General features: G+C 43.3%; 1 annotated feature.

The window, feature by feature from the left end:
- Positions 11,189–11,298: an enhancer, noted in NCBI's record as "active region_10076". NCBI's record gives its function as "activates an Ori minimal core promoter by ATAC-STARR-seq in GM12878 lymphoblastoid cells {active_cell/tissue: GM12878}" and the evidence as "EXISTENCE:reporter gene assay evidence [ECO:0000049][PMID:35858748]".

The raw sequence follows: 24,538 nt of genomic DNA, 5'->3' as shown, positions 1-24,538 counted from the left end.
TCTCTCTCTCTTTTTGTAGAGACGAGGTCTCTTTATGTTGCCCATGCTGGTCTCAAACTCCTGGGCTCAAGCGATCCTCCCATAGCCTCTCGAGTAGCTGATACCACAGGCACATGCCATCATGACCAGCTTCTTTTATATTATTTTATTTTATTTTATTTTTGAGACAGGTTCTTGCTTTGTCACCCAGGCTAAAGTGCAGTGGCATGATCCTGGCTCATTGAGACCCCTCCGCCTCCTGGGGTCAAGTGATCCTCCCACTTTAGCCTCATGAGTAACTGGGACTACAGGTGTAGCCACCACACCTGGCTAATTTTTGTATTTTTTGTAGAGATGGGTTTTTGCCGTGTTGCCCAGGTTGGTGGCGAACTCCTGGCCTCAAGCGATCTGCCCACCTTGGCCTCCCAAAGTGCTGGGATTATAGATGTGAGCCACCACACCCAGCCTCAGCTTCTTTTTTTGATTGAAAACATATCACAGGCCTCCTTCTATGCAAATACATACTGATCTACTGTATTCTTTTTTTTTTTTTGAGACGAAGTTTCGCTCTTTTTGCCCAGGCTGGAGTGCAATGGTGTGATCTCAGCTTACTGCAACATCTGCCTCCCGGGTTCAAGCAATTCTCCTGCCTCAGCCTCCCAAGTAGCTGGGATTACAGGCGCACACCACCACGTCCAGCTAATTTTGTATTTTCAGCAGAGATGAGGTTTCACCATGTCGGCCAGGCTGTTCTCGAACTCCTGATCTCAGGTGATCCGCCTGCCTCGGCCTCCCAAAGTGCTGGGATTACAGGCTTGAGCCACCACACCCGGCCCATTGTATTATTTTTAATACATATGGTCTATCCTCATTATTTGTGGATTCCATATTTGTGAATTTGCCTACTCATTGCATTTATTTGTAACCCCAAAATCAATATTCATATAGCTTTGGGGATCATTTGTAGACATGTGCAAAGCAGTGAAAAATCTGAGTTGCTTGACGCACACATTCCTAAATGAGGCTGAACAGGGCGACACTGTCTTCTTGCTTCATCTGTCATACAAGTGTTCCTCCTGTGGTCCATTTGGTGCCACTTTTTTTTTTTGAATGTTTATGCTTTTTGCTGTTGATTTTGCTATTTATATTTATGTTTTTTATTTTTTTGAAACGGAGTCTTGCTCTGTCACCCAGGCTGGAGTACAGTGGTGAGGTTTTGGCTCACTGCAACCTCCGTCTCCTGGGTTCAAGCGACTCTCCTGCCTCAGCCTCCTGAGTAGCTGGGACTAGAGGTGTGTGACACCACGCCCAGCTAATTTTTGTATTTTTAGTAGAGATGGGGTACACCATGTTGGCCAGGCTGGTCTTGAACTCCCGACCTCAAATGATCCACCCACCTCAGCCTCCCGAAGTGCTGGGATTAGAGGCGTGAGCCACAGCGCCCAGCCGATTTTGGTTTTTAAATGCAAAAGTGCTGAAGTGCAGTGCAGTGCTGAAGTGTTATCTAGTGTTTGTATGATCAAGAAGGCTGTGATGGGACGTGCCTGGCAGACATGGTTAGATAAGCTTCATTCAGACAGGAGTCATAGTGCTGTGAGTTCCTCAATGAATCAACAACACAACATACCTAGAAAAAGGAAGAGGACATTGGGCAACCTGTACCTGAGGCTGCTCCAGAAAGTGCTAAATAGAGTAATGTCTGTAGTGTATGATGAAGCTGTGGAAAAGATACAAAAGTGGCCAAATTTGTGGATTCAGGAGATGATGACCAATAAAAAAAGAAAAAAGGGCATTAGACAGCTGTTGTGAGGCTGAAAAGCCAAAGAAATTTACAGTCACATTGGGTCAGGAAAATGTTAAACTGGCTTAGCTAGTATTACTGCCTCAAATGTTTCAAAATGTGTTATAACATTAAAAGTGTTATTTTTATAGGCAAGTTCTACAGATCGCGAGGCTGCAGAATAATTTTAAACATACAAGCTAAAGGCCGGGCATGGTGGCTGACACCTGTAATCTTAGCACTTTGGGAGGCTGAGGTGGGCGGATTGCTTGAGTCCAGGAGTTCATAGACCAGCCTGGGCAACATAGGGAGACCCTGTCTCTATTAATAAAAATTAGCTGGGCATGGTTTCTTGAACCTGTAGTCCCAGCTACTCAGGAGGCTGAGGTGGGAGGACCGTTTGAGCCCAGGAGGTCAAGACTACTGTGAGCTGTGATTGAGTCACTGCGCTCCAGCCTGGGCAACAGAGACCCTGTCTCAAAAAAAAAAAAAAAAAGTTATACAAGGCCAGGCATGGTGGCTCACACCTGTAATCCCAACACTTTGGGAGGCCTAAGCAAGCAGATCCCTACTTGAAGTCAGGAGTTCAAGACCAGCCTGCCCAACATGGTAAAACCCCACCTCTACCAAAAAAATATAAAAATTAACTGGGCGTGGCGGTACATGTCTGTAGTCCCAGCTATTCAGGAGGCTGAGGTGGGAGAATTGCTTGAACCTGAGAGGTGGAGGTTGCAGTGAGCTGAGATTGTGCCACTGCACTCTAGCCTGGGCGACAGAGCGAGATCCTGTCTCAAAAAAAAAAAAGCTATACAAACTAAGTGTAATATGGGAAAAGGGTAAGGGTTAGGTAGGAAAGCAGTTTTTCAACTCTGATAAGGCTGGCTTGTTTTAATGAGAACACATGGACACAGGAAGGGGAACATCACACTCTGGGGACTGTTGTGGGGTGGGGGGAGCGGGGAGGGATAGCATTAAGAGATATACCTAATGCTAAATGACGAGTTAATGGGTGCAGCACACCAGCATGGCACATGTATACATATGTAACTAACCTGCACATTGTGCACATGTACCCTAAAACTTAAAGTGTAAAAAAAAAAAAAAAAAAGACTGGCTTGTTTTACAAGGACATTGGCAAATTAACCTATATAATGCAAATAGCCTCCAAACCCCAGGCTTTAAATCTTTGAAGGACTATGCAATCAATCATTTGTAAGAAAGGTACACTGAATAATGTATTTCAAACAGAAGCACACATGATTGATTAATGAAAATATTGTGACCAGAGGCTTACAGGAACCAACCCTGTATTTCCTCTAGGAGCAATGGTTCCATATTTGTGAATTCAGTGTTTGTAATGTGATATTAGAGAACAACTCCCTCAGATAATAAGCATCAACTGTACTTAAAATTAAACACTATGACTCTAACTTAATCAGTTTAACCACTCATTGTTGATCAATATTTAGGTCAATTCAAACCTTTTTACATTACAGCCAGTGTGTGCATGTCTCTATATACACCTATGCAAATATTTCTCTAGGATAGATACCCAAAAGTACAAGTTGATTCAAAGAATGTACTCATTTAAAGTATTGATAGATATTGCTAAACCACATTCTCAAAGGCTCCTTCAATTTATGCTTCTACTAACAGTTTATGAAAGTGCCTCTTTTTCTGCATCTTTATCAAACTGGATATTACCAATATTTTTTACTTATTATATTTTATTTCCTTTTGAGACAGGGTCTTGCTGTATTGCCCAGACTGGTCATGAACTCCTGGGCTCAAGTGATCCTCCCATGTCAGCCTCCTAAGTAGCAAGGACTACAGGTGCGTACCACCACACCCAGCTAATTGTTAACTTTTTGTAGAGATGAGGTCTCGATGTGTTGCCCAGGCTGCTCACGAACTCCTGGGCTCCAGTAATCCTCGTGCCTCAGCCTCCAATGATTTTATTTTTTTAATTTTTTATAAAATTTTGGCAAAATACACAAAACATAAAATTTACCAGCTTAACTGTTTTGAAGTATACAGTTCAGTAAGTACATTCATAATGTTGCACAACCATCACCACCACACATCTGCAGAACTCTTTTCATCTTGTAAAACTGAAACTCTATACCCATTAAGCAATAACTCCCCACTTTCCCCTGTCCCCAGCCCCCGGCAATTATCGTCATATTTTCTGTCTCTATAATGTTTTTATTTTTTATTCTTTTGAAACAGGGTCTCGCTCTGTTGCTCAGGCTGGAATACAATGGTGTGATCATAGCTCACTGCAGCCTTGACCTCCCAGGTTCAAGTTATCCTCCCACCTCAGTTTCTGGAATACCTGGGATTACAAGCGTGTGCCACCATGCCTGACTATTTTATTTTATTTTATTCTATTTTATTTTATTTTTGGAGAGAGAGGGTCTCACTATGTTGCTCAGGCTAGCGTCAAACTGCTGGGCTCAAGCAATCCTCCCACCTCGGCCTCCCAAAGTGCTGGGATTACAGGTGTGAGCCACTATGCCTGGCCTCTAAGATTTTAACTACTCTAAGTACCTCATATAAGCTGACTCGTACAGTATTTGTCTTTGTCTGACTGGCTTATTTCACTTATAATGTTCTCAGATTTCACCTGTCTCAAAAAATAAAATAAAATAATATTGATTGAGACTTAATTTGTAGCCTGACCTACCAACACCTGCCTCACGCACAGCACGCCCATCTAGATTTCAATTGTAGTTGCTATGCGTATGGTGGCTCAGTTCAGCTGGGCTCAATTCCTGGTGCTGATTGTAATGCTACTTTGGGAAGCTAAGGAAGGGGGATTGCTTGAACCCAGGAGTCAAGGCTGTAGTGAGCCATGATTGTGCCACTGCACTCCAGCCTGGGTGACAGAGCAAGACCTTGTTTCAAAAAAAAAAAAAAAGGAAGAAATGATTACAACCATCGATTAGTCATTAGTGCCATGCCTTAGCTGAGAACTTCTTCTCTGGGCCATTCTGCAGCCCTCTGGAATGGCTTTAGGACCTGGCTACCAGGCTCCCCTTATCCCAGTGTCTTGCTCTCATCCTCAGTGGCTTCAGCATACTTATTTATTTTATTATTTTTTTTGGTGGGGGGACGGAGTTTCGCTATTGTCGCCCAGGCTGGAGTCCAATGGCACGATCTCAGCTTGCTGCAACCTCCGTGTCCCGGGTTCAAGTGATTCTCCTGCCTCAGCCCCCTGAGTAGTTGGGATTATAGGTGCCCGCCACACACCCAGCTAATTTTTTGTATTTTTAGTAGAGATGGGGTTTCACCACGTTGGCCAGGCTGGTCTAGAACTCCTGACCTCAAGTGATCCACCTGCCGTGGCCTCCTGAAGTGCTGGGATTACAGGTGTGAGCCACCGTGCCCGGCCTCATCCTTATTAATTACAGCACCACCACCTGTGCTCATGGTCCCTTTACCTCCTCTGCTCCAGTAACCTCGAAAGGCCAGCCACATCACAGAGCTGCTTCCATTTCAGCCTCTCAACTCCATCTCTCCTTTTCCCTTAGAATAACTGGGGCTGCCCATTATCCTTGCCACAGCCTCCTCTGCTTCCTTGCTTATTGTTCCTTTTCTACCTCCTCCCTCAGTCTGGACTCCACGGTCGGCTCTTCAACCATGTTCCTGCTAGTGGCTTACGGTTCCTGTTCTCCAACTTTCTAATCTACCTACTGTGTCATCCCCAAGCAGGGGATTCCCTGCCATCTACTTCTGCAACTCTCAGGCTGGCAGAAGTGGCCTCCATGCTGCCCAGTCAGAAGGGCCTGTGTGGCCAACACAGCTGCCGCCCCAGTTCCATCCTTCATTCTCTTTCCTTCCAGTTGTCCAGGCCTTGCCATCTGACTGGCCTGGAGAGTAGGGAAGAGATGGGGAAAACAAAGGAGGGGTGCAAACATCTGGAGCTCAGTGCCCTGGTCTGCTCAGCCTGGGGGAGATTCTCCTCCCTCCTCTTCCTCCCCTGCTCTGTTCCTTCACCTTCTTCCGCCTTGAGGACTCCCTGATTCCCTTATATATCCATGAAAACTTTTACATCACTAAATAAATTGCCTTTTTTTTTTTAAATGAAGTCTCTCTCTGTTGCCCAGGCTGAAGGGCAGTGGCATGATCTCGGCTCACTGCAACCTCCGCCTCTTGGGTTCAAGTGATTCTCCCACCTCAACCTCCCGAGTAGCTGGGATTACAGGCGTGCGCTACCATGCCTGGTTGACTTTTTTTTTTTTTTTTTTTTTTTGGATTTTTAGTAGAAACAGGGTTTTACCATGTTGGCCAGTCTGGTCTCAAACTCTTGACCTCAAGAGATCTGCCCACCTGGGCCTCCCAAAGTGCTGGGATTACAGGTGTGAGCCACCATGCCCCAGTGAAATTGCTTAATTTCACAAACATTTTGAGAGTCAACTGGGAACTGTCAACCTAGAAGGAAGCTGAAGCAAAATTAATATAAGTAGAGAATTTATCTGGGGCTGGGCATAGTGGTACACTCCTGTAATCGAGGATTCTGGGAGGCTGAGTTGGGAGGATTGCTTGCCAGGAGTTTGAGAACAGCCTGGGCAGCATAGTGAAACCCCATCTGTACAAAAAATTTAAAAATTAGCCAGGCATGGTGGCTCATGTCTGTAGTCCCAGCTACTCAGGAGGCTGAAGCAGGAGGATTGCTTGAGCCCAGGAGTTCGAGGTTATGGTGAGCTAAGATCCTGCCACTGCACTCCAGTCTGGGCAACAGGAGCAAGACCTTTTCTCTTAAAAAAAAATAAATAACAATAGTAAGACAGAGGATCTATTTGGGCCAAGCTAGATATTGCAAACTGGGAGCATAGAGTCAAGTTACCCTCAGTATACATCCTGATTAGCAGCAGTTGTGAGGCAGGAGGCAGGCCTGTACTCCAGGCCAGATTGAAGACTAGCTGAAACAGGGAAGAGGGGAAAGCACCTCTCCATAACACATGCCCACCAGTGCCATGTCAGTTTACCAGTGCCCTGGCAACACCCAGAAGTTACTGCCCCTTTCCATGGCAACAACCTGGGAGTTATACCCTTTTCCTAGAAATTTCTGAAAAACCCATCCCTTAATTTGCATGTAATTAAAAGTGGGTATAAATATGACTGTGGAACTGCCCCTTAGCTGCTACTCTCCACACACTGACTATGGGCTAGCTCTTCCTGCAGGAGCAGTTACAGAGCGGTAACACTGCTGCCTCAATAAAACTGGTTTTGGTGGCGGGGCGTGGTGGCTCACACCTGTAATCCCAGCACTTTGGGAGGCCGAGGTGGGTGAATCACCTGAGGTCAGGAGTTCAAGACAAGCCTGACCAACATGGTGAAAATACAAAATACAAAAATTACTAAATTATTATTATTACTAAAAATAATAGCCTCCCAAGTAGCTGGGATTACAGGCATGCACCACCACCCCCTGCTAATTTTGTCTTTTTAGTAGAGACGGGGATTTCACCATGTTGTCACCTTGGTCTCGAACTCCTGACCTCAAGTTGTCCACCTCACCTTGGCCTCCCAGAGTGCTAGGATTATAGGCGTGAGCCACCGCGCACAGTCAAGAAACCTCTTTTCTACAAATAAATAAATAAAAAATTAGCCAGGTGTTGTGGTGCCCATCTGTAGTCCCAGCTACTCAGAAGGCTGAGGTGGGAGGATCGCTTGAGCCCAGGAGGTCAAGGCTGCACTGGGCTGTGATCATGCCACTGCACTCCAGCCTGGGAAACAAAGCAGGACCCTTTCTTAAAAAAAAAAAAAAAGGATTTGCATTAGTCAGATAAAAATTATTATTTTTTTCATAACTTTTTATTTTAGAAATGAGTGGAAAAAGTGCTCGCCCTTCAGGAACTCCCCAGTAGCTCACTGCCTCCAGTAGTTTTAGGGTCTTGAGAAGGGGCTAAAGTGAGGTGGAGAAAACCACAAATAGACTATAGTGCATGGACCCTACGTTGTTTTATCGGAAATTTGGAAATGTACATGAATATATTTCTTTCTTGTTTTTTTGAGACAGAGTCTCACCCTGTTGCCCAGGCTAGAGTGCAATGGCACGATCTCGGCTCACTGCACCCTCTGCCCCCCGGGTTCAAACGATTCTCCTGCCTCAGCCTCCCGAGTAGCTGGGATTACAGGCGCCCACCACCACACCCAACTAATTTTTGTATTTTTAGTAGGGAAGGGGTTTCACCATGTTGGCCAGGCTGGTCTCGAACTCCTGACCTCGTGATCTGCCTGCCTTGCCCTCTCGAAGTGCTGGGATTACAAAAGTGAGCCACTGCGCCCCGCCCATTCCTTTACTTTCTTAATAAACTTGGTTTCACTTTATGGACTCACCCTGAATTCTTTCTTGAGCGAGATCCAAGAACCCTCTCTTGGGGTCTGGACTGGGACCCCTTTCCGGTAACACTCAACTTGAGGGTTGGTAAGAATTTACTGACAACAGTACAGGTTTTATTACCATAGAAAGAAGGAACGTTGCAGAAAAGTGCAGTGGGGCACGTCAGCAAGAGCACTGAGCCACTGCGGTGGTCTTTTCCTTAGGGATATTTATGGACCTAAAGCAGGAGATGAAGGGTAACTTGCACGATAAATGATTACATTTTTAGACATTTTGTTGCCTTGATGTTAGCAAGGGTTGAACAATGAGTTTCGGCATGCATGCATTCTGGGGATGTACAGAAATCCTAGTTACTCACACATTTTAAGTTGAAAAGAGGCCTGGAACCAAGTGTCTTTAGATAATAGGAAAGTCTAATTACTTCTAAATTCCTCAGATAAGGAGTTTTTGTCTCTGGAGCCTGCTGGATGGTCACCAGGGGATTTTGCTTGCTTTATTTATTTACTGACAGTGTCTTGCTCTGTTGCCAAGGCTGGAGTGCAGTGGCATGATCATAGCTCACTGCAGCCTCTACCTCCTGGGCTCAAGCAATCCTGCCGCCCCAGCCTCCCAAGTGGCTGAGACTACAGGTGCAGAACACCAAGCCTAGCTACTTTTTAAATGTTTTTGTAGAGACAGGGTCCCCGTATGTTGCTCAGGTCGGTGTCGAACTCCTGGGCTCAAGTTATCCACTCACTTCAGCCTCCCAAAATCCTCTACTTGCTTCTTTTTTTTTTTTTTTTTGAGATGGAGTCTCACTTTGTCGCCCAGGCTGGAGTGCAGTGGCACAATCTTGGTTCACTGCAACCTCTGCCTCCCGGGTTCAGGCGATTCTCCTGCCTCAGCCTCCCAAGGAGTTGGGACTACAGGTGCGTGCCACCATGCCCGGCTAATTTTTGTATTTTTACTAGAAATGGGGTTTTGCCATGTTAACAGGCCAGGCTGGTCTTGAACTCCTGATCTCAGGTGATCCACCCGCCTCAGCCTCCCAAAGTGCTGGGATTACAGGCGTGAGCCACTAAGCCCAGCAGTCCTTTACTTTCTTATTAAATGTGCTTTCTCTTCATTCTGTTGGCTTGCTCTTGAATTCCTTCTTGTGCAAAGCCAAGAACCCACGTGGCCTCCCAGGTTGACTGAATCCCAAAATTGGGGGTTCAGCCTGTGACAAAAATATTCATAAAACTATAAATTAAGCAATATATTTATTGAGAAAACACTTATAACAATATAGCAGACAATAGATTGGTATCTTCAATAAATAAAGGGGTCATACAAATGGATTTTAAAATTAAGATCCCAATAAATAAATGAGTAAAAGGGCCAGACATGATGGCTCATGCCTGTAATCCCAGTACTTTGGGAAGCCAAGACAGGAGGACCCCTTGAGCCCAGAAGTTGGAGGCTGCAGTGAGCTATGATTTTGCCACTATGTTCCAGCCTGGGAGCAGAGCAAGACTCCGTCTCTAAGTAAATAAATAAGTAAAAACTGCTAACAATTTATAAAAAACAGAAATACAAATTTTAAAATGTTAATTTATACTAGTAATTAATTGATTTTTTTTTTAAGATGATAATTTTGTTCTTGTTGCCCAGCGTGGAGTGCAATCGCGGGATCTCAGCTCACTGCAGCCTCCACCTCCCAGGTTCAAGTGATTCTCCTGCCTCAGCCTCCCGAGTAGCTGGGATTATAGGCACATGCCATCACGCCCGGCTAATTTTTTTTAATTTTTAGTAGAGACGGGGTTTCACCATGTTGGCCAGGCTGGTCTCGAACTCCAGACCTCAGGTGATCCTCCTACCTTGGCCTCCCCAAGGTGCTGGAATTACAGGCGTGACCCACCACGTCCAGCCTAATTGCAAATTAAAACATCTTTTTTACCAGTGCACTGATAAGAGAGATTTATAAAATTGTTTTCATTACTTTTGATTAGGGTGCAATTAGGTGTGCATTCCTTATGGTACTTGGTGTTGATAGTACACAATGATGCAAGCTTTCTAGGAAGTTTTTTGCAGCATGAATAAAAAGACTTGCAAATGTTTTTGACTCAGTAATTTCAATACTAGGTCTCTTATAAGGAAATAATCAGAAATATATATAAAAATATATAAGAATAGTCAATACAGCAAAAAACAAAATGATCAGTGTCTAAAAATAAGAAAATTATTACAAAATTACAATAGAACCCTATCATGAAAAAAGATCATTCAACCACTGCAAATAATGCTTATGAAGAATTTACAACGACATGGGAAAATACTCAACATACATTGCAGTACATGAAAAATCAGGACATGGACCTATATGTTTTATGTTTGCAACCATATAAAAATATGTGTACAATATATTCATATGTAGCAGATACTCTGCTGAAGATGTAACTTGTGAGTTTTATTTTCACTGCTTTTCCAAAGAATGCCAGAAAGTCTGCCCCCGGGTAGCTGACTCCCCACGGAGCTCCCCTTCCTCTAGGGAAAGTAAAAGGAATTTAGCTGTTTTAAGGGCTGGTCCTCCAACTGGAGACAATCAGGCTCTATTGTCAGAGAAGGTAGGGAACCCTTGACCTACCTTTATGTATGAAAGGCACACCAAGGATGCCTAAAAACCAATTGGAAGTCGCTCTTCGGGGAAGTTTGTAGCTCTATGGTCCGGGAAGGAATTAGAACAAGCCCATTTGGGAATGATAGTAGAGGAGTTAAAATTTTAAAAAGTAAAAATAGAACAAGCCCAGTCTGGTTTAAGGGTTGAAAACACCTGGGCAAGAAAGAAAAAGTTGTTATTGTCTGGAATGGGTGTTCCTCTGAGCCAGTCCTGACATAGTGCTGGGGCTGGCGGCGGGCTTGCGGGGCGAGGCTTTGCGGGGGCCTGAAAGGGCTGGGTACTATGAAGCCCTGGGAACTGGTAAGGACTCTGGATTAGCTAGTGCGGGGACAGAGGAAATTCTTCCTCTCTGGCCAGCAGTTACCGCCTTGGTGGGAACGCGCAGGAGCAGCGAAGAGTGACACCTTGTGGTGGTTAAGAGCAAGGGCAGAAACAGCCACAGACCACCGCTAGGGACTCCTGGGCTCCGCTCCAAAGGGTATGAATGTCCACAGGACTCCTTTGTGCATGACATATGCCTCAGGTTCCTGGGCAATCCCAGAGAAGGAGTAGCTCTAAGAAGGAGGTAATTGGCTAAGTCAGTAGTTAAAGGATAGAGCTAGTTTTTAGAAAAAGTTTTAAATGCATCTTGATTGTTATGGTACAGCTGGCCACTGCTGGGGCTCAGAAAACAATAGCCTAAAATGAGAACCTCAGCAGCAGCTTCGTAAGCAAACGTTTTCCTCTGACTTTCTCTTCCATGCCTTTCTCTCAGTACCATTCTCCCCTGCGGTTACCCATAGAAATCAGAGTCCCTTTTCCCTATAGTCAGCCATAAAACTTAAAAATGCTACTCTAGGCCGGGTGTAGTGGCTCACACCTGTAATCCCAACACTTTCGGGAAGCCGAGGTGGGCAGATGACATGAGGTCAGGAGTTCGAGACCAGCCTGGCCAACGTGGTAAAACCCCATCTCTACTAAAAATACAAAAATTAGCTGAGTGTGGTGGCGTGTGCCTGTAGTCCCAGCTACTTGGGAAGCTGAGGAAGGAGAATCGCTTGAACCCAGGAGACAGAGGTTGCAGTCAGCCGAGATCGCGCCACCGCACTCCAGCCTGGGTGACGGAGTGAGACTCCATCTCAAAAAAACAAAACAAAAAAATGACTCTAATTTCCCCTCCACCTTTCTGTGTCAAACTGCCCATAAAGAAACTAACTGGGCCGGCTACAGTGGCTCAGGCCTATAATACCAGCACTTTGGGAGGCTGAGGCGGGCAGATGACACAAGGTCAGGAGTTTGAGACCAGCCTGGCCAACGTGGTAAAACCCCATCTCTACTAAAAATACAAAAATTAGCCAGCCATGGTGGCGTGTGCCTATAGTCCCAGCTACTCGGGAGGCTGAGGTGGGAGAATGGCTTGAATCTAGGAGGTGGAGGTTGCAATGAGCCGAGACCATGCCACTGCACACTAGCCTGGGTGACAGAGCGAGACTCTGTCTCAAATAAAAACAAAACAAAAAAATTATCTAGGTGGGTGCAGTGGCTCATGCTTGTAATCCCAGCACTTTGGGAGGCAGAGGCAAAGGTTTAATTGAGCTCAGGAGTTCAAGACCAGCCTGGGCAATATAGGGAGACCCCCTGTCTTTACAAAAATAGAAATTAAAAAATTTGCCTGGTGTGGCGGTGCACCCCTGTGGTTCCAGCTACTTGGGAGGCTGAGGTGGGAGGATTACTTTAGCCCAGAAGGCTGAGGCTGCAGTATGCCGTGATCACGACACTGTACTCCAGCCTGGTGACAGAGCAAGACCCAGTCTCAAGAAAAAAAAATTATCTGACTTAACTTGTTTGACTGTAGATCATAAGACCTCCATTCCCGGCAGGTCCCTGCCCCTCACCCAGAAGGAAGGAATGCTGCAGAGAAAGTCCAAGAATCTGGAGAGACAGGCTGGGCTGGGTTTCCCCACTCAGTCTATTAGCAGTAGACCATATTCTTTCTGTCCATATATATATATATTTTATTTTATTTTATTTATTTTTTTATTTTTATTTTTTTTTGAGATGGAGTCTTGCTCTGATGCCCATGCTGGAGTGCAGTGGCACAATCTCAGCTCACTGCAACCTCTGCCTTCCAGGTTCAAGCGATTCTCCTGCCTCAGTCTCCCTAATAGCTGGGATTACAGGCACATGCCACCACACCCAGCTAATTTTTGTATTTTTAGTAGAGATGGAGTTTCGCCATGGATAGAGGTATTTTAACTGGGGTGAGATATATCTCATTGTAGTTTTGCTATGCATTTCCATTATGAGTAATGAGATGGAGGATATTTTCATAACTGTTGGCCATTTGTACGTCTTTTTTTTTTTTTTTTTTTGTCTGAGATGGGGTCTTGCTCTGTCACCCAGGCTGGAGTGCAATGGCATGATCTCAGCTCACTGCAACCTTCGCCTCCCGGGTTCAAGTGATTCTCCTGCCTCAGCATCCCAAGTAGCTGGGATTACGGGTGCCCACTACCATGCCCAGCTAATTTTTTTGTGTTTTTAGTAGAGACAGGGTTTCACCATGTTGGCCAGGCTGGTCTTGAACTCCTGACCTCAGGTGATCCGCCCCCCTCAGCCTCCCAAAGCATTGGGATTACAAGCGTGAGCCACCGCGCCTGGCCCAATCATATTTTTACATGGCTCTCCATACTTTGTTAAACCTAAGCATAAAAATGGACAATTCCACCTGTATCTTTGAATCTTCATTAATTGTATACTTGTTAAATAAATCTGTGTGCTTTTTCTCTTATTAACCTGTCTTTTCCAAGTTGATTTTTCAGGGAAACTTCAGAAGGCCAAGAAGAACTTATCCTCTTGGCCTCTACACCATACGCATATACATTAAAAAAAAAAGGGGCCAGGTGTGGTGGCACATGCCTGTAATCCCAGCACTTTGGGAGGCCGAGGCGGGTGGATCACCTGAGGTCAGGATTTCGAGACCAGCCTGGCCAACATGGCAAAACCCCATCTCTATTAAATTAAAAATACAAAAATTAGCCCTGCTACTCGGGAGGCTGAGGCAGGAGAATTGCTTGAACCCAGGAGGTGGAGGTTACAGTGAGCCGAGATCGTGCCGCTGGACTCCAGCCTGGGCAACAGAGTGAGACTATGTCTCCAGTAAATTAATTAATTAATTAATTAAAGTATGTAGAAATCAACCTCATTTTTTTTAAATGGCTGAATAGAATTCCAAGGTATAGATGTTCCATATGTTTTAAAGCTAGGCCTCTGTCCACAAACATTTAAATAATTTGGTTGTTTTTCTGTTTTTGGTTATAAATATTGCTGTAATAAACATTCTTGTACATATATTGGCATATTTTTGTGATTACATCTACAAGATATATTCCAATTTATACTAAAACCAACAGTGTGAAAGTGAATTATTTTCTTACCAACACCATTGTGAATTATTACACTTAAAAAAATTTGCCCATACCCAATACTATAGGATAAATATTATGTGTGCGTACATATATACATACATATATATATATATATATGCTTTCATTTGCATTTTAAAAATTATTAATGGGCTGGGCGTGGTGGCTCACGCCTGTAATCCTAACACTTTGGGAGGCCGAGGCGGGTGGATCACTTGAGGTCAGGGGTTTGAGATCAGCCTGTCCAACATGGTTAAACCCTGTCTGTACTAAAAAAAAAAAACAAAAAATTAGCCAGGCTTGAGGATTGCTTGCACCCACGAGCTGGAGGTTGCAGTGAGCCGAGATCATGCGACTGCACTCCAGCCTGGGTGACAGAGTGAGGCTCTGTCTCAAAAAAAAAAAAAGATTAATGGCTTGGCATGTGGTGGCTCACACCTGTAATCCTAACATTTTGGGAGGCTGAGGTGGGAGGATCGCTTGAGGCCAGGACTTTAAGACCAGCCTGGGCAACATAGCAAGAACTTGTCTCTACAAAAAATAAAAATATTAGCTGGGTGTAGGGCATGCACCTGTAGTCCCAGCTACTTGAGAGGCTGAGGCTGGAAGATCACTTGTGCCAGGAATTTGAGGTTTCAGTGAGCTGAGATGGCACCACTGCACTCCAGCCTGGGCAACAGAGCAAGACTCCGTCTTGGAAAAAAAAAAAAAATTCAAGTTGCCTGTGTGTATATGAAGCGAATCAAACACACAGTAGTAAAAGCCCACTAAGGGAACAGTAAAAGCCCATTAAGGGAACAGTCTCTGGCACCAGACCATTCCCTGAGGATGTTTCCATCTCCAGGCCATGTGGCTCGGTAAATCTCATAGTTAGTGGCTTTAATATTTGTAATAGGTGTAGCTTGGGAGCAGCAGTCTGGTTTGACAAGCCGGTTAGGGAACTTAAAGCCACTTTTGCTTGCCAAGAGTCACTGCTTTTACTGAAGGTTACAAGATTTTTTTTTCTTTCCAATAGTCAACTAATTATTTTAGGGATAATTTTCTTCCTATAAACCAAACAGCCAGGGGGCTACGAATATATATGCATGTATACATGCGTGTATGTATTTAAATTTTTTCCCTGCCTTGTTTTTCCTTCCAATCTTTATAATTAGTCTTTACTTGTAATAGCTTGGGGGGCATTGAAGATTACAGAGAGAAATCCCCGCTAAAACATACCCTGTCCCAAGCCACCCCAGCACCGCTCTTGTCTCTGTGTCTTGGCAAGGACCACCCCACACTGGGGCTGCCTCTGAGTCATTTTGTGCAGCCTGGAGCACCTCTGTGTCCTCCCACAAGTATTCTTGAATAGTGCAGTTCAGAATAGGGCGTGGGAACTGGCCAGAGGTTGTAAATCCATTCTCCTTCCTCCTCTTGGCAAGAAGGGGCTGGAACAGGGCCTGGGTTATCCAGTCCTGGAGAAGTTCAGGCCAGCACAGGAGAACTAAGAGAAAAGCCAGCATCCACCAAGGAGGAACACAAGGTCCAAAGCCTAAAGCTAAAGGGTCTCCCTCTGTCACACTTAATGCAAACCATTAATACAAATCCCAAGTGATACTGGCCTTGGGGGGATGAAAAAAATCCATTCTAAAAAAAAAAAAATTCCTGCTGTAGCTTTTCTTTTTCCATGGGCATGCGTCATGTGATACTTGATTTCACAATTATTCACTGACACTTTCTTGGACTGAATTTCACTCCTCCCTCTTTTAAGTCAACACTTCCCTGATCCCATTCCCCAGTGTCTCTGTCTGGGCATTTTTTTTTTTTTTTTTTTTTGAGACAGAGTGTCGCTCTGTCACCCAGGCTGGAGTGCAGTGGCGTGATCTCAGCTCACTGCAACCTCTGCCTCCCAGGTTCAAGCAATTCTCCTGCCTCAGTCTCCCAAGTAGCTGGGATTACAGGTGTGCACCACTATGCCCGACAAATTTTTTTTTTTTTTTTTTTTTTTTTTTAAGACAGAGTCTTGCTCTGTCACCCAGGCTGGAGTGCAGTGGCGTGATCTCAGCTCACTGTAAGCTCTGCCTCCCGGGTTCACGCCATTCTCCTGCCTCAGCCTCCCGACTAGCTGGGACTACAGGTGCCTGCCATCATGCCCAGCTAATTTCTTTTGTATTTTTAGTAGAGACGGGGTTTCACCGTGTTAGCCAGGATGGTCTCGATCTCCTGACCTCGTGATCCATCCGCCTTGGCCTCCCAAAGTGCTGGGATTACAGGTGTGAGCCACCGCACCCAGCCATTTTTTTGTATTTTTAGTAGAGATGGGGTTTCACCACATTGGCCAGGCTGGTCTCGAACTCCTGACCTTGTGATCCACCAACCTCGGCCTCCCAAAGTGCTGGGATAACAGGTGTGAGCCATTGTGCCTGGTCTGTTTTTTCGTTTTTTTGTTTTTTTTTTAATTAGAGACGAGGTCTTGCTATGTTGTCCAGGCTGGTCTCAAACGCCTGACTTCAGGTGATCCACCCGCCTCAGCCTCCCAAAGTGCTGGGATTACAGGCATGAGCCACTGTACCCAGCCTGGCATTCTTAAGATGAGCACCCCTTTAGCCTTTTCCTTAGGCCAGTCTTACAATATCCTACAACACTGTCCAATGGTCTTTTCCCAATCATATTTAGTGGCCCTGAGTCTGTGACACAACTAGCAAAAATGAGACACATACCCTGTGTGAGCCCAAAAGAGACTTGTTTCTTATTCTGACATTAGGAAGTAGTTTGGATGAACCAATGATGGAGGTCTTAGGTGGGTGCAGGTACTTCCTGCATCCTCAGGGCCCAAAGGGACTCTCTGCTTCAATGCCTGAGCCTTATCTGCTGGGAAGTGGTGGGGAGTCATTGGCCCTGATCATAACCAGTTGTTATGCAGAGTACCTGAATGGAAAAAACAAACAAACAAAAAAACATGACCCAGTGATATATTGCCTACAAGAAACACACTTCACCTACAAAGACACACATAAACTGAGAAGAAAGGGATGGAAAAAGATGTCCCGTGCCAATGGAAACTGGTAAAGAGCAGGAGTGGCTATGCTTATATCAGACTAAATAGATTTCAAGACAAAAACTATAAGAAGAGGCAAAGAAGGTCATTATATAATGATAAAGGGGTCATTCAGCAAGGGGATATAACAATTTTAAATAGATATGCACCCAAGACTAGAGCACCCAGATATATAAAGCAAACACTAAACAGCTAAAGAGAGAGAGAGACCCCAATACAATAATAACTGGAGACCTCAACAGTCTACTTTCAGCAGTGGACAGATCTTCTGGACAGAAAATCAACAAAGAAACATGGGACTTCATCTGCACTGTTGACCAAATGGAACTAATAGATATTTACAGATTGTTTCATCCAATGGCTACAGAATACACATTCTTTTCCTCAGCACATGGATCATTCTCAAGGACAGACCATATCTTAGGTCTCACAACAAGCCTTAACACATTAAAAAAAAATTGAAGTAATGTCAAGCATCTTCTCTGACCACAATGGAATAAAACTAGAAATTAATAACAAGAGAAATTTTGGAGATATACAAACACATGGAGATTAAATAATATGCTCTGGAATGACCAGTGGGGTCGATGAAGAAATTAAGAAGGAAATGGAAACATTTCTTGAAACAAATGATAATGGAAACACAACATACCAAAACCTATGGGATACAGCAAAAGCAGTGCTAAGAGGGAAGTTTATGGCAATAAACACTTACCTTAAAAAAGTAGAAAAACAGGCCAGGCATGGTGGCTCATGCCTGAATCCCAGCACTTTGGGAGGCTGAGGTGGGCAGATCACCTGAGCTCAGGAGTTCGAGACCAGCCTGACCAACATGGAGAAACTCCGTCTCTACTAAAAATACAAAATTAGCTGGGCGTGGTGGCGCATGCCTGTAGTCCCAGCTACTTGGGAGGCTGAGGCAGGAGAATCGCTTGAACCCGGGAGGCAGAGGTTGCGGTGAGCCGAGATCACACCATTGCACTCCAGCCTGGGCAACAAGAGCGAAACTCCGTCTAAAAAAAAAAAAAGTAGAAAAACATCAAATAAACAACGTAACAGTGCATCTTAAAGAAATAGAAAAGCAAGAGCAATCCAAACCCAAAATTAGTAGAAGAAAAGAATAAAGATCCCAGAGCAGAAATAAGTGAAATTGAAATGAAGAAAACAATAAAAAAATCAATGAAATGAGAAGTTGGTTTTTTGAAAAGATAAACAACCTTGACAACCTTTTAGCCTAAATAAGACTAAGAAAAAAAGAGAGAAGACCCAAATATATAAAATCAGAGATGAAAAAGGAAACATGACAATTGATACCACAAAAATTCAAAGGATCATCAGTCAATATTATAAGGAATTACATGCAAAAAATTGGAAAACTTAGAAAAAAATGGATAAATTCCTAAACACGTCCAGCCTACCAAGATTGAATAACGATGAAATGCAAAACCTGAACAGACCAACAACAAATAATGAGATCAAAGCTGTAATAAAAAGTCTCCCAGCAAAGAAAAGCCTGGGACGTGATGGTTTCACTGCTGACTTTTACCAAACATTTAAAGAGAACTAATACCAACCTTACCCAAACTACTCCAAAAATAGTGGTGGAGGGAATACTTCCAACTCATTCTACAAGGCTAGTATTACCCTGATACCAAAACGAAAGATACATCCAAAAAATAAAACTACAGGCTAATATCACTGATGAATATTGATGCAAAAATTCTCAACAAAATATTAGCAAATTGAATTCAACAACACATTAAAAAGATCATTCATCATGACCAAGTGGGATTTATCCCAGGGATGCAAGGATAATTCAATATACCCAAATCAATCAATGTGATACATCATATCAACAGAATGAAGAACAAAAACTACATGATAATTTCAATGAATGCTGAAAAAGCATTTGATAAAATTCAACATCCCTTCAGGATGAAAGCCCCTTAAAAACTGAAGGCACATACATCAACATAATAAAAGCCATATACAACACACCCACAGCTAGTTTCATACTGAATGGGGGAAAACCAAGAGCCTCTTCTCTAAGATCAAGAACATAACAAAGATGCCCACTTTCACCACTGTTAATCAACATTGTTCAGGAAATTCTAGCTAGACCAATCAGACAAGGGAAATAAATAAAGGGCATCCAAACTGGAAGGGAAGAAGTCAAATTATTCTTATTTGCAGATGGTATAATCGTATTTTGGAAAACTCTAAAGACTACACACACACACACACACACACACACACACACACACACACAAAACTATTAGAACTGATAAATCAATTCAGTAAAGTTGCAGGATACAAAATCAACATACAAAAACCAATGGCATTTCTGTATGTCAACAGCAAACAGTCTGAAAAAGAAATCAAGAAAGCAATTCCATTTACAATAGCTACAAATAAAATAAAATACTTAGAAATTAACCAAAGAAGCCAAAGTTCTCCACAATGAAAACTATACACTGATACAAGAAATTAAAGAGGACACAAATGAAAAGATATTCCGTGTTCATGGATTGGAAGAATCAATATTGTTCAAACATCCATACTACCCAAAGCAATCTACAGACTCAATGCAATCTGTATCAAAATATCGATGACATTCCTCACAGAAATAGAAAAAAAAATCCTAAAATGTATATGGAACTACAAAAGACCCGCCATAGCCAAAACTGTCCTAAACAAAAAGAACAAAACTAGAGTAATCACATTCCCTGACTTCAAATTATACCAGAGAGCTAAGTAGCCAAAGTGACATGGTTACTGGCATAAAAACAGACACATAGACCAATGGAACAGAATAGAGAACCCAGAAATAAATCCATACATCTACAGTGAACTCATTTTTGACAAAGGCGCCAAGAATACACATTGTGGAAAGGACAGTCTCTTCAATAAATGGTGGTGGGAAAATTGGATAACCATATACAGAAGAATGAAACCAAACCCTTCTCTCTCACCACATACAAACATCAAATCAAAATGGATTATACACTTAATTATAAGACCCCAATCTATGAAACTACTGAACAAAAACATTAGGGAAACTCTCCAGGACATTGGAGTGGGCAAAGATCTCTTGAGCAATACCCTACAAGCGCAGGCAACCAAAGCAAAAATGGACAAATGGGATCACATCAAATTAAAAAGCTTCTGTGCAGCAAAGGAGACAATCAATAAACTAAAGAGACACCCTGTAGAATGGGAGAAAATATTTGTAAACTACCTATCTGACAAGGAATTAATAACAGAATATATAAGAAGCTCAAACAATTTAATAGCAAAGATCTAATAATCTAACTGAAAAATGGGCAAAAGATCTGAATAGAGACTTCTCAAAAGAAGACATACAAATGGCAAACAGATACATGAGAAGGGGCTCGACATCATTGATTATCATAGAAATGCAAATCAAAACTACAATGAGACATCATCTCACTTCAGTTAAAATAGCCTTTATTCAAAAGACAGGCCAGGCACAGTGGCTCACGCCTATAATCCTAGCACTTTGGGAGGCTGAGGCGAGTGGATCACTCGAGGCCAGGAGTTTGAGACCAGCCTGGCCAACATGGTGAAACCCCGTCTCTACTAAAAATACAAAAATTAGCCGGGTGCAGTGGCGCATGCCTGTAGTCCCAGCTACTTGGGAGGCTGAGGCAGGAGAATCGCCTGAACCCAGGAGGCGAAGGTTGCAGTGAGCGAAGATTGAGCCAGTGTTGGAGGAGGGGCCGGGTGGAAGGTGATTGAATCATGGAGGCAGACTTCCCCCTTCCTGTTCTCATGATAGAGTTCTCACAGAGCTGGTTGTTGTAAAATGTGCAGTACCTTCCCCTTTGCTCTCTCTTCCTCCTCCTCCAGCCACGTAGGACTGGCTGGCTTCCCTTTGTGCACACGATGCAGTCTCACTCAAGCCTCTCAAAGAGTCCATGGCTTTCGTATTATGCCCATTTCAGAGATGAGTGGACCAAAGCTCAGCGAGATTAGATGATGTGCGTAAGGCTGCAGGGCTGGAAAACAGTGTCATCAGGTCTGTGACCTGGGTCTGCCTCCTGAAGCCTGAGGTCACCCTCCATTCAGCCACATGACAGGTCAGTGGACCTGTGGAGAGTGAGTGTTGGGTGGGTACGAGTGCCATCACTCCTCTCCCATGGGTCCCTACTTGGTGCCAGGTGTGTGGGCAGTATTTGTATTTTTACAATGATTCTTTAATACACGAAAAGCACAATCATCATCATCATCATCCTCCCTCCATATTGTGCACAGGCTCAAGACACCAAGGTTCTCAGAAATCTTTGTTTTGGGTAACAAAAATACTTTTCCTAATGTGAAGCTATTGTTAAACCATGTCTCATCATCATCTGTTAGCCCCAACATCAAAAACGACAACAAAAATAACAGCAAAGCCTCACAATAGATACACAGCACTCTCAGGACTCGCAAGAAAAAAATGTGATGAAAAACTAGGCTGAGACCGTAACACGAGGTCTGGTGATCTCTGTGTAGAGTCTTCATTACAGTGTCCCTTAAAATAGCCGGGCTTGAGCCCTTAGTAGGTTTTGAAATCAATTTAGTGAATCTTAGCCCGTATTAAAAAAATAGACTTTTGAATTAGTCTACATTTTAAGAGTAAGTAGTGTTTTATAAGGCTTCTGTTTCAGTCCTGTAGGTGTATGTGTGTGTATGTGCGTGCATGTGCACGTGTGTGCGTTGGGTGTACACTTCTTGCTGTGGTTATTTATCAGAAAGGCTTAAAGGCCCTGCTGTTGCGAGCATTCATGAATGCCTCTGAGGAGTTAATGAAAAGGTAGCTGGGAATGTTCCCTGATCTTGTGCACCCACAGGGACCACGAATGCCTGCACGTGCGGGATTTATAATCAGGGCCAGTGCTTCACAGGGCTAGAATTAGATATTGAGTCAAATCATGAATGCATGCCACTTTAAAGCAGATGACACCTGGGTATAATTTGGAAGATGAACAGTCAGCTAGGGAGTTGGGCTAGATAGAGCCATTCAGACCAAGTAATTGCAAGAGTGATAAGAGAGTAGGGAATGGCAGGCCCTTAGAACTACTGTGGCCTAACTGCTACCTCACTGTCTTTAGGTACATTGGGAAATAATTTCTCCTACTTCTTATGGACAGTAATTATTTATTACTCCTTTTAAGAATAATTTGAGACACACACATATATATATATTGTTTATATATGTGTGTAAATACATATATGTGTAAATATATATATTTATCTTATGTATCTTAAAAGGAGTAATAATGATAAATAATTATATGTATTTAATTATAAATAATTATCTATAATTAAATAAGTAAATATAATTATAAATAATTGCAATAAATATAATAAACACAATTATATAATATTAATATATTAATAATACTAATAATATATAAGTATATATAATAATTATAATCAATAAATATAATAAATAATAATTATTATTCCTTTTAAAATAGATAAATATATGTATAGATATACATATATAGATATACATCTATATATATATACTTATCTCCAAAATATTAATAAATAGCAGCAGCAGCAATTCCCATGGTTATTGTCTACTGGCTGTCAGGCACCCTATTAGGGGCTCTCCTGCATTATCTTTCATCTTCTCAAACATCTTACAAGGTTGTTCTTGTGGAAGTTTTACACATCAAAGGACAGCGGGTATTGGTTTTGGGGAGTTAAAGGGAAAGATAAGCGGGTGGTCCAAGCACAAGGCTCGTGGGATTCCATGAACTTGGTGACTTGAACCCTCTGTAGCTCTGCAGGTTCAGACACCCACTTTTGTCAACAAGCTGAGAGCTGGTATCTCGGATACGGGTCATGTCATCCAGTGGAGGTGTGGACAACCAGAATGCCTCCTGATTAACCTATGATGACAATAACTGTGACACAGCCTGGACCACTGGAGCCAACCTGACCAGCCCATGTGAACTCATAACCCAGTTAGAATTTTGCCTGGTGAATGTTGATGTAGAAAGGGGGATGGGAGGTGACTATAAAGGTTTAATGTTATCTAGTAAGAATGGCTTGAAGTGAGGCTTACCAATCTTTACCTTTTACCTACATAGTTTCTTGATGAGAAGGAGACCAGACCCAGGGAACTTTCTGGAGATGAGTGTGGTAGGCTGTGCCCCCCAAGCTCCAGCGCTCAGAGCTAGAGACTTCAACTTGGGGTTGAGCCAAAGTACTGGCCTTTGATACCTCACCTAGACTGAAGAGAGGGCAGGGCCAACGTGACTTGCCTGCCTGGATGCACTGTGAGAAGCTGGAGCAGAAGGAAAGCAAAAGGAAGCCAGCTGAGGAGCTGGGGTGCAAGGGCCCTGAGACTGGGCAGGCCAATCAAAGAAGGCAAAAAAGTGTGCCATGCACAAGCAGTGCCCCAACTCCATAATCAACCCCTTCTGACATGTGAGGCCACATGGGTGATATGCTGTCTTGAGTCAGATTAGCTACTCTTATCCTGGGGAGAGAAGAATGAAAGGAGGGAAAGCGAGAGAGTACGTGTCCATCCAAGTGTTCCCTAAAATGGTCTGCAAGTCAGATGGGGAGAAGTTCCCTCATCTATGAGCCTGAGATGGGAATATGGGAAAAAGAATAACAGCGTCTACAAAAACGGCAGGCACTGCTCTTGGCCAGGATACTGGATATCTTTGACGAAGATGCATTTTTTTCTTCTGAGCTGTTCTTAGATGGACCCTGTCAGCCTGCTCTGGAACCCCAAAAAGGCAGGAGTAGAATTTGTTCATGCCCTTAGCACAGTGCTTAGCAGACTCTCAATATATATACAGAATACATGCATTTACTTCTCTCTCCTTTTTCTTCTTTCATGGAATCAAACTCTACCTTAAATTGACTATTATTCCTTTAGCTGTGTTATTATCCTCAATCAGATTGTTCAACATGTTCAACAAGTCAGAATGTTCAACATGATGACTTTGCACATCTCTGCTCCATACAATATGTATTGATCTTGTTGTTTAGCTCTTGGAGGACCATCTCATTTTCCCTCTTATACCAAGTTCTTTAGAAGTGCATTTCCCTGTAGCTGTCAAGAGCTTACTCTCTCATTCCCATTCCACAGTCATTTATGAGCGGAGCCAACGTTAAGATCCAAGGTCACGGGAAGAAAATGTTATTGGATAGACTGAACAACCCCTGTTAGACGTTAGCGTTTCACAGAACTCATCAGAGAAACCCAAGTTTTCACCAAACACTGCATTGATTTCCGCCTCCCACAGCAATTGGTTATTTTGCCCAAGAGAGGAAACTGTTTCCATTTCACACATGGTAAAGGACACCTCCTGATAATTTCCCTTTG

Source organism: Homo sapiens, chromosome 15 (genome assembly GCF_000001405.40).
Source record: "Homo sapiens chromosome 15, GRCh38.p14 Primary Assembly".
Lineage (NCBI taxonomy): Eukaryota > Metazoa > Chordata > Mammalia > Primates > Hominidae > Homo > Homo sapiens.
Note: the sequence above shows the minus strand (reverse complement) of the source record. Positions and strands in the feature narration are given on the sequence as shown.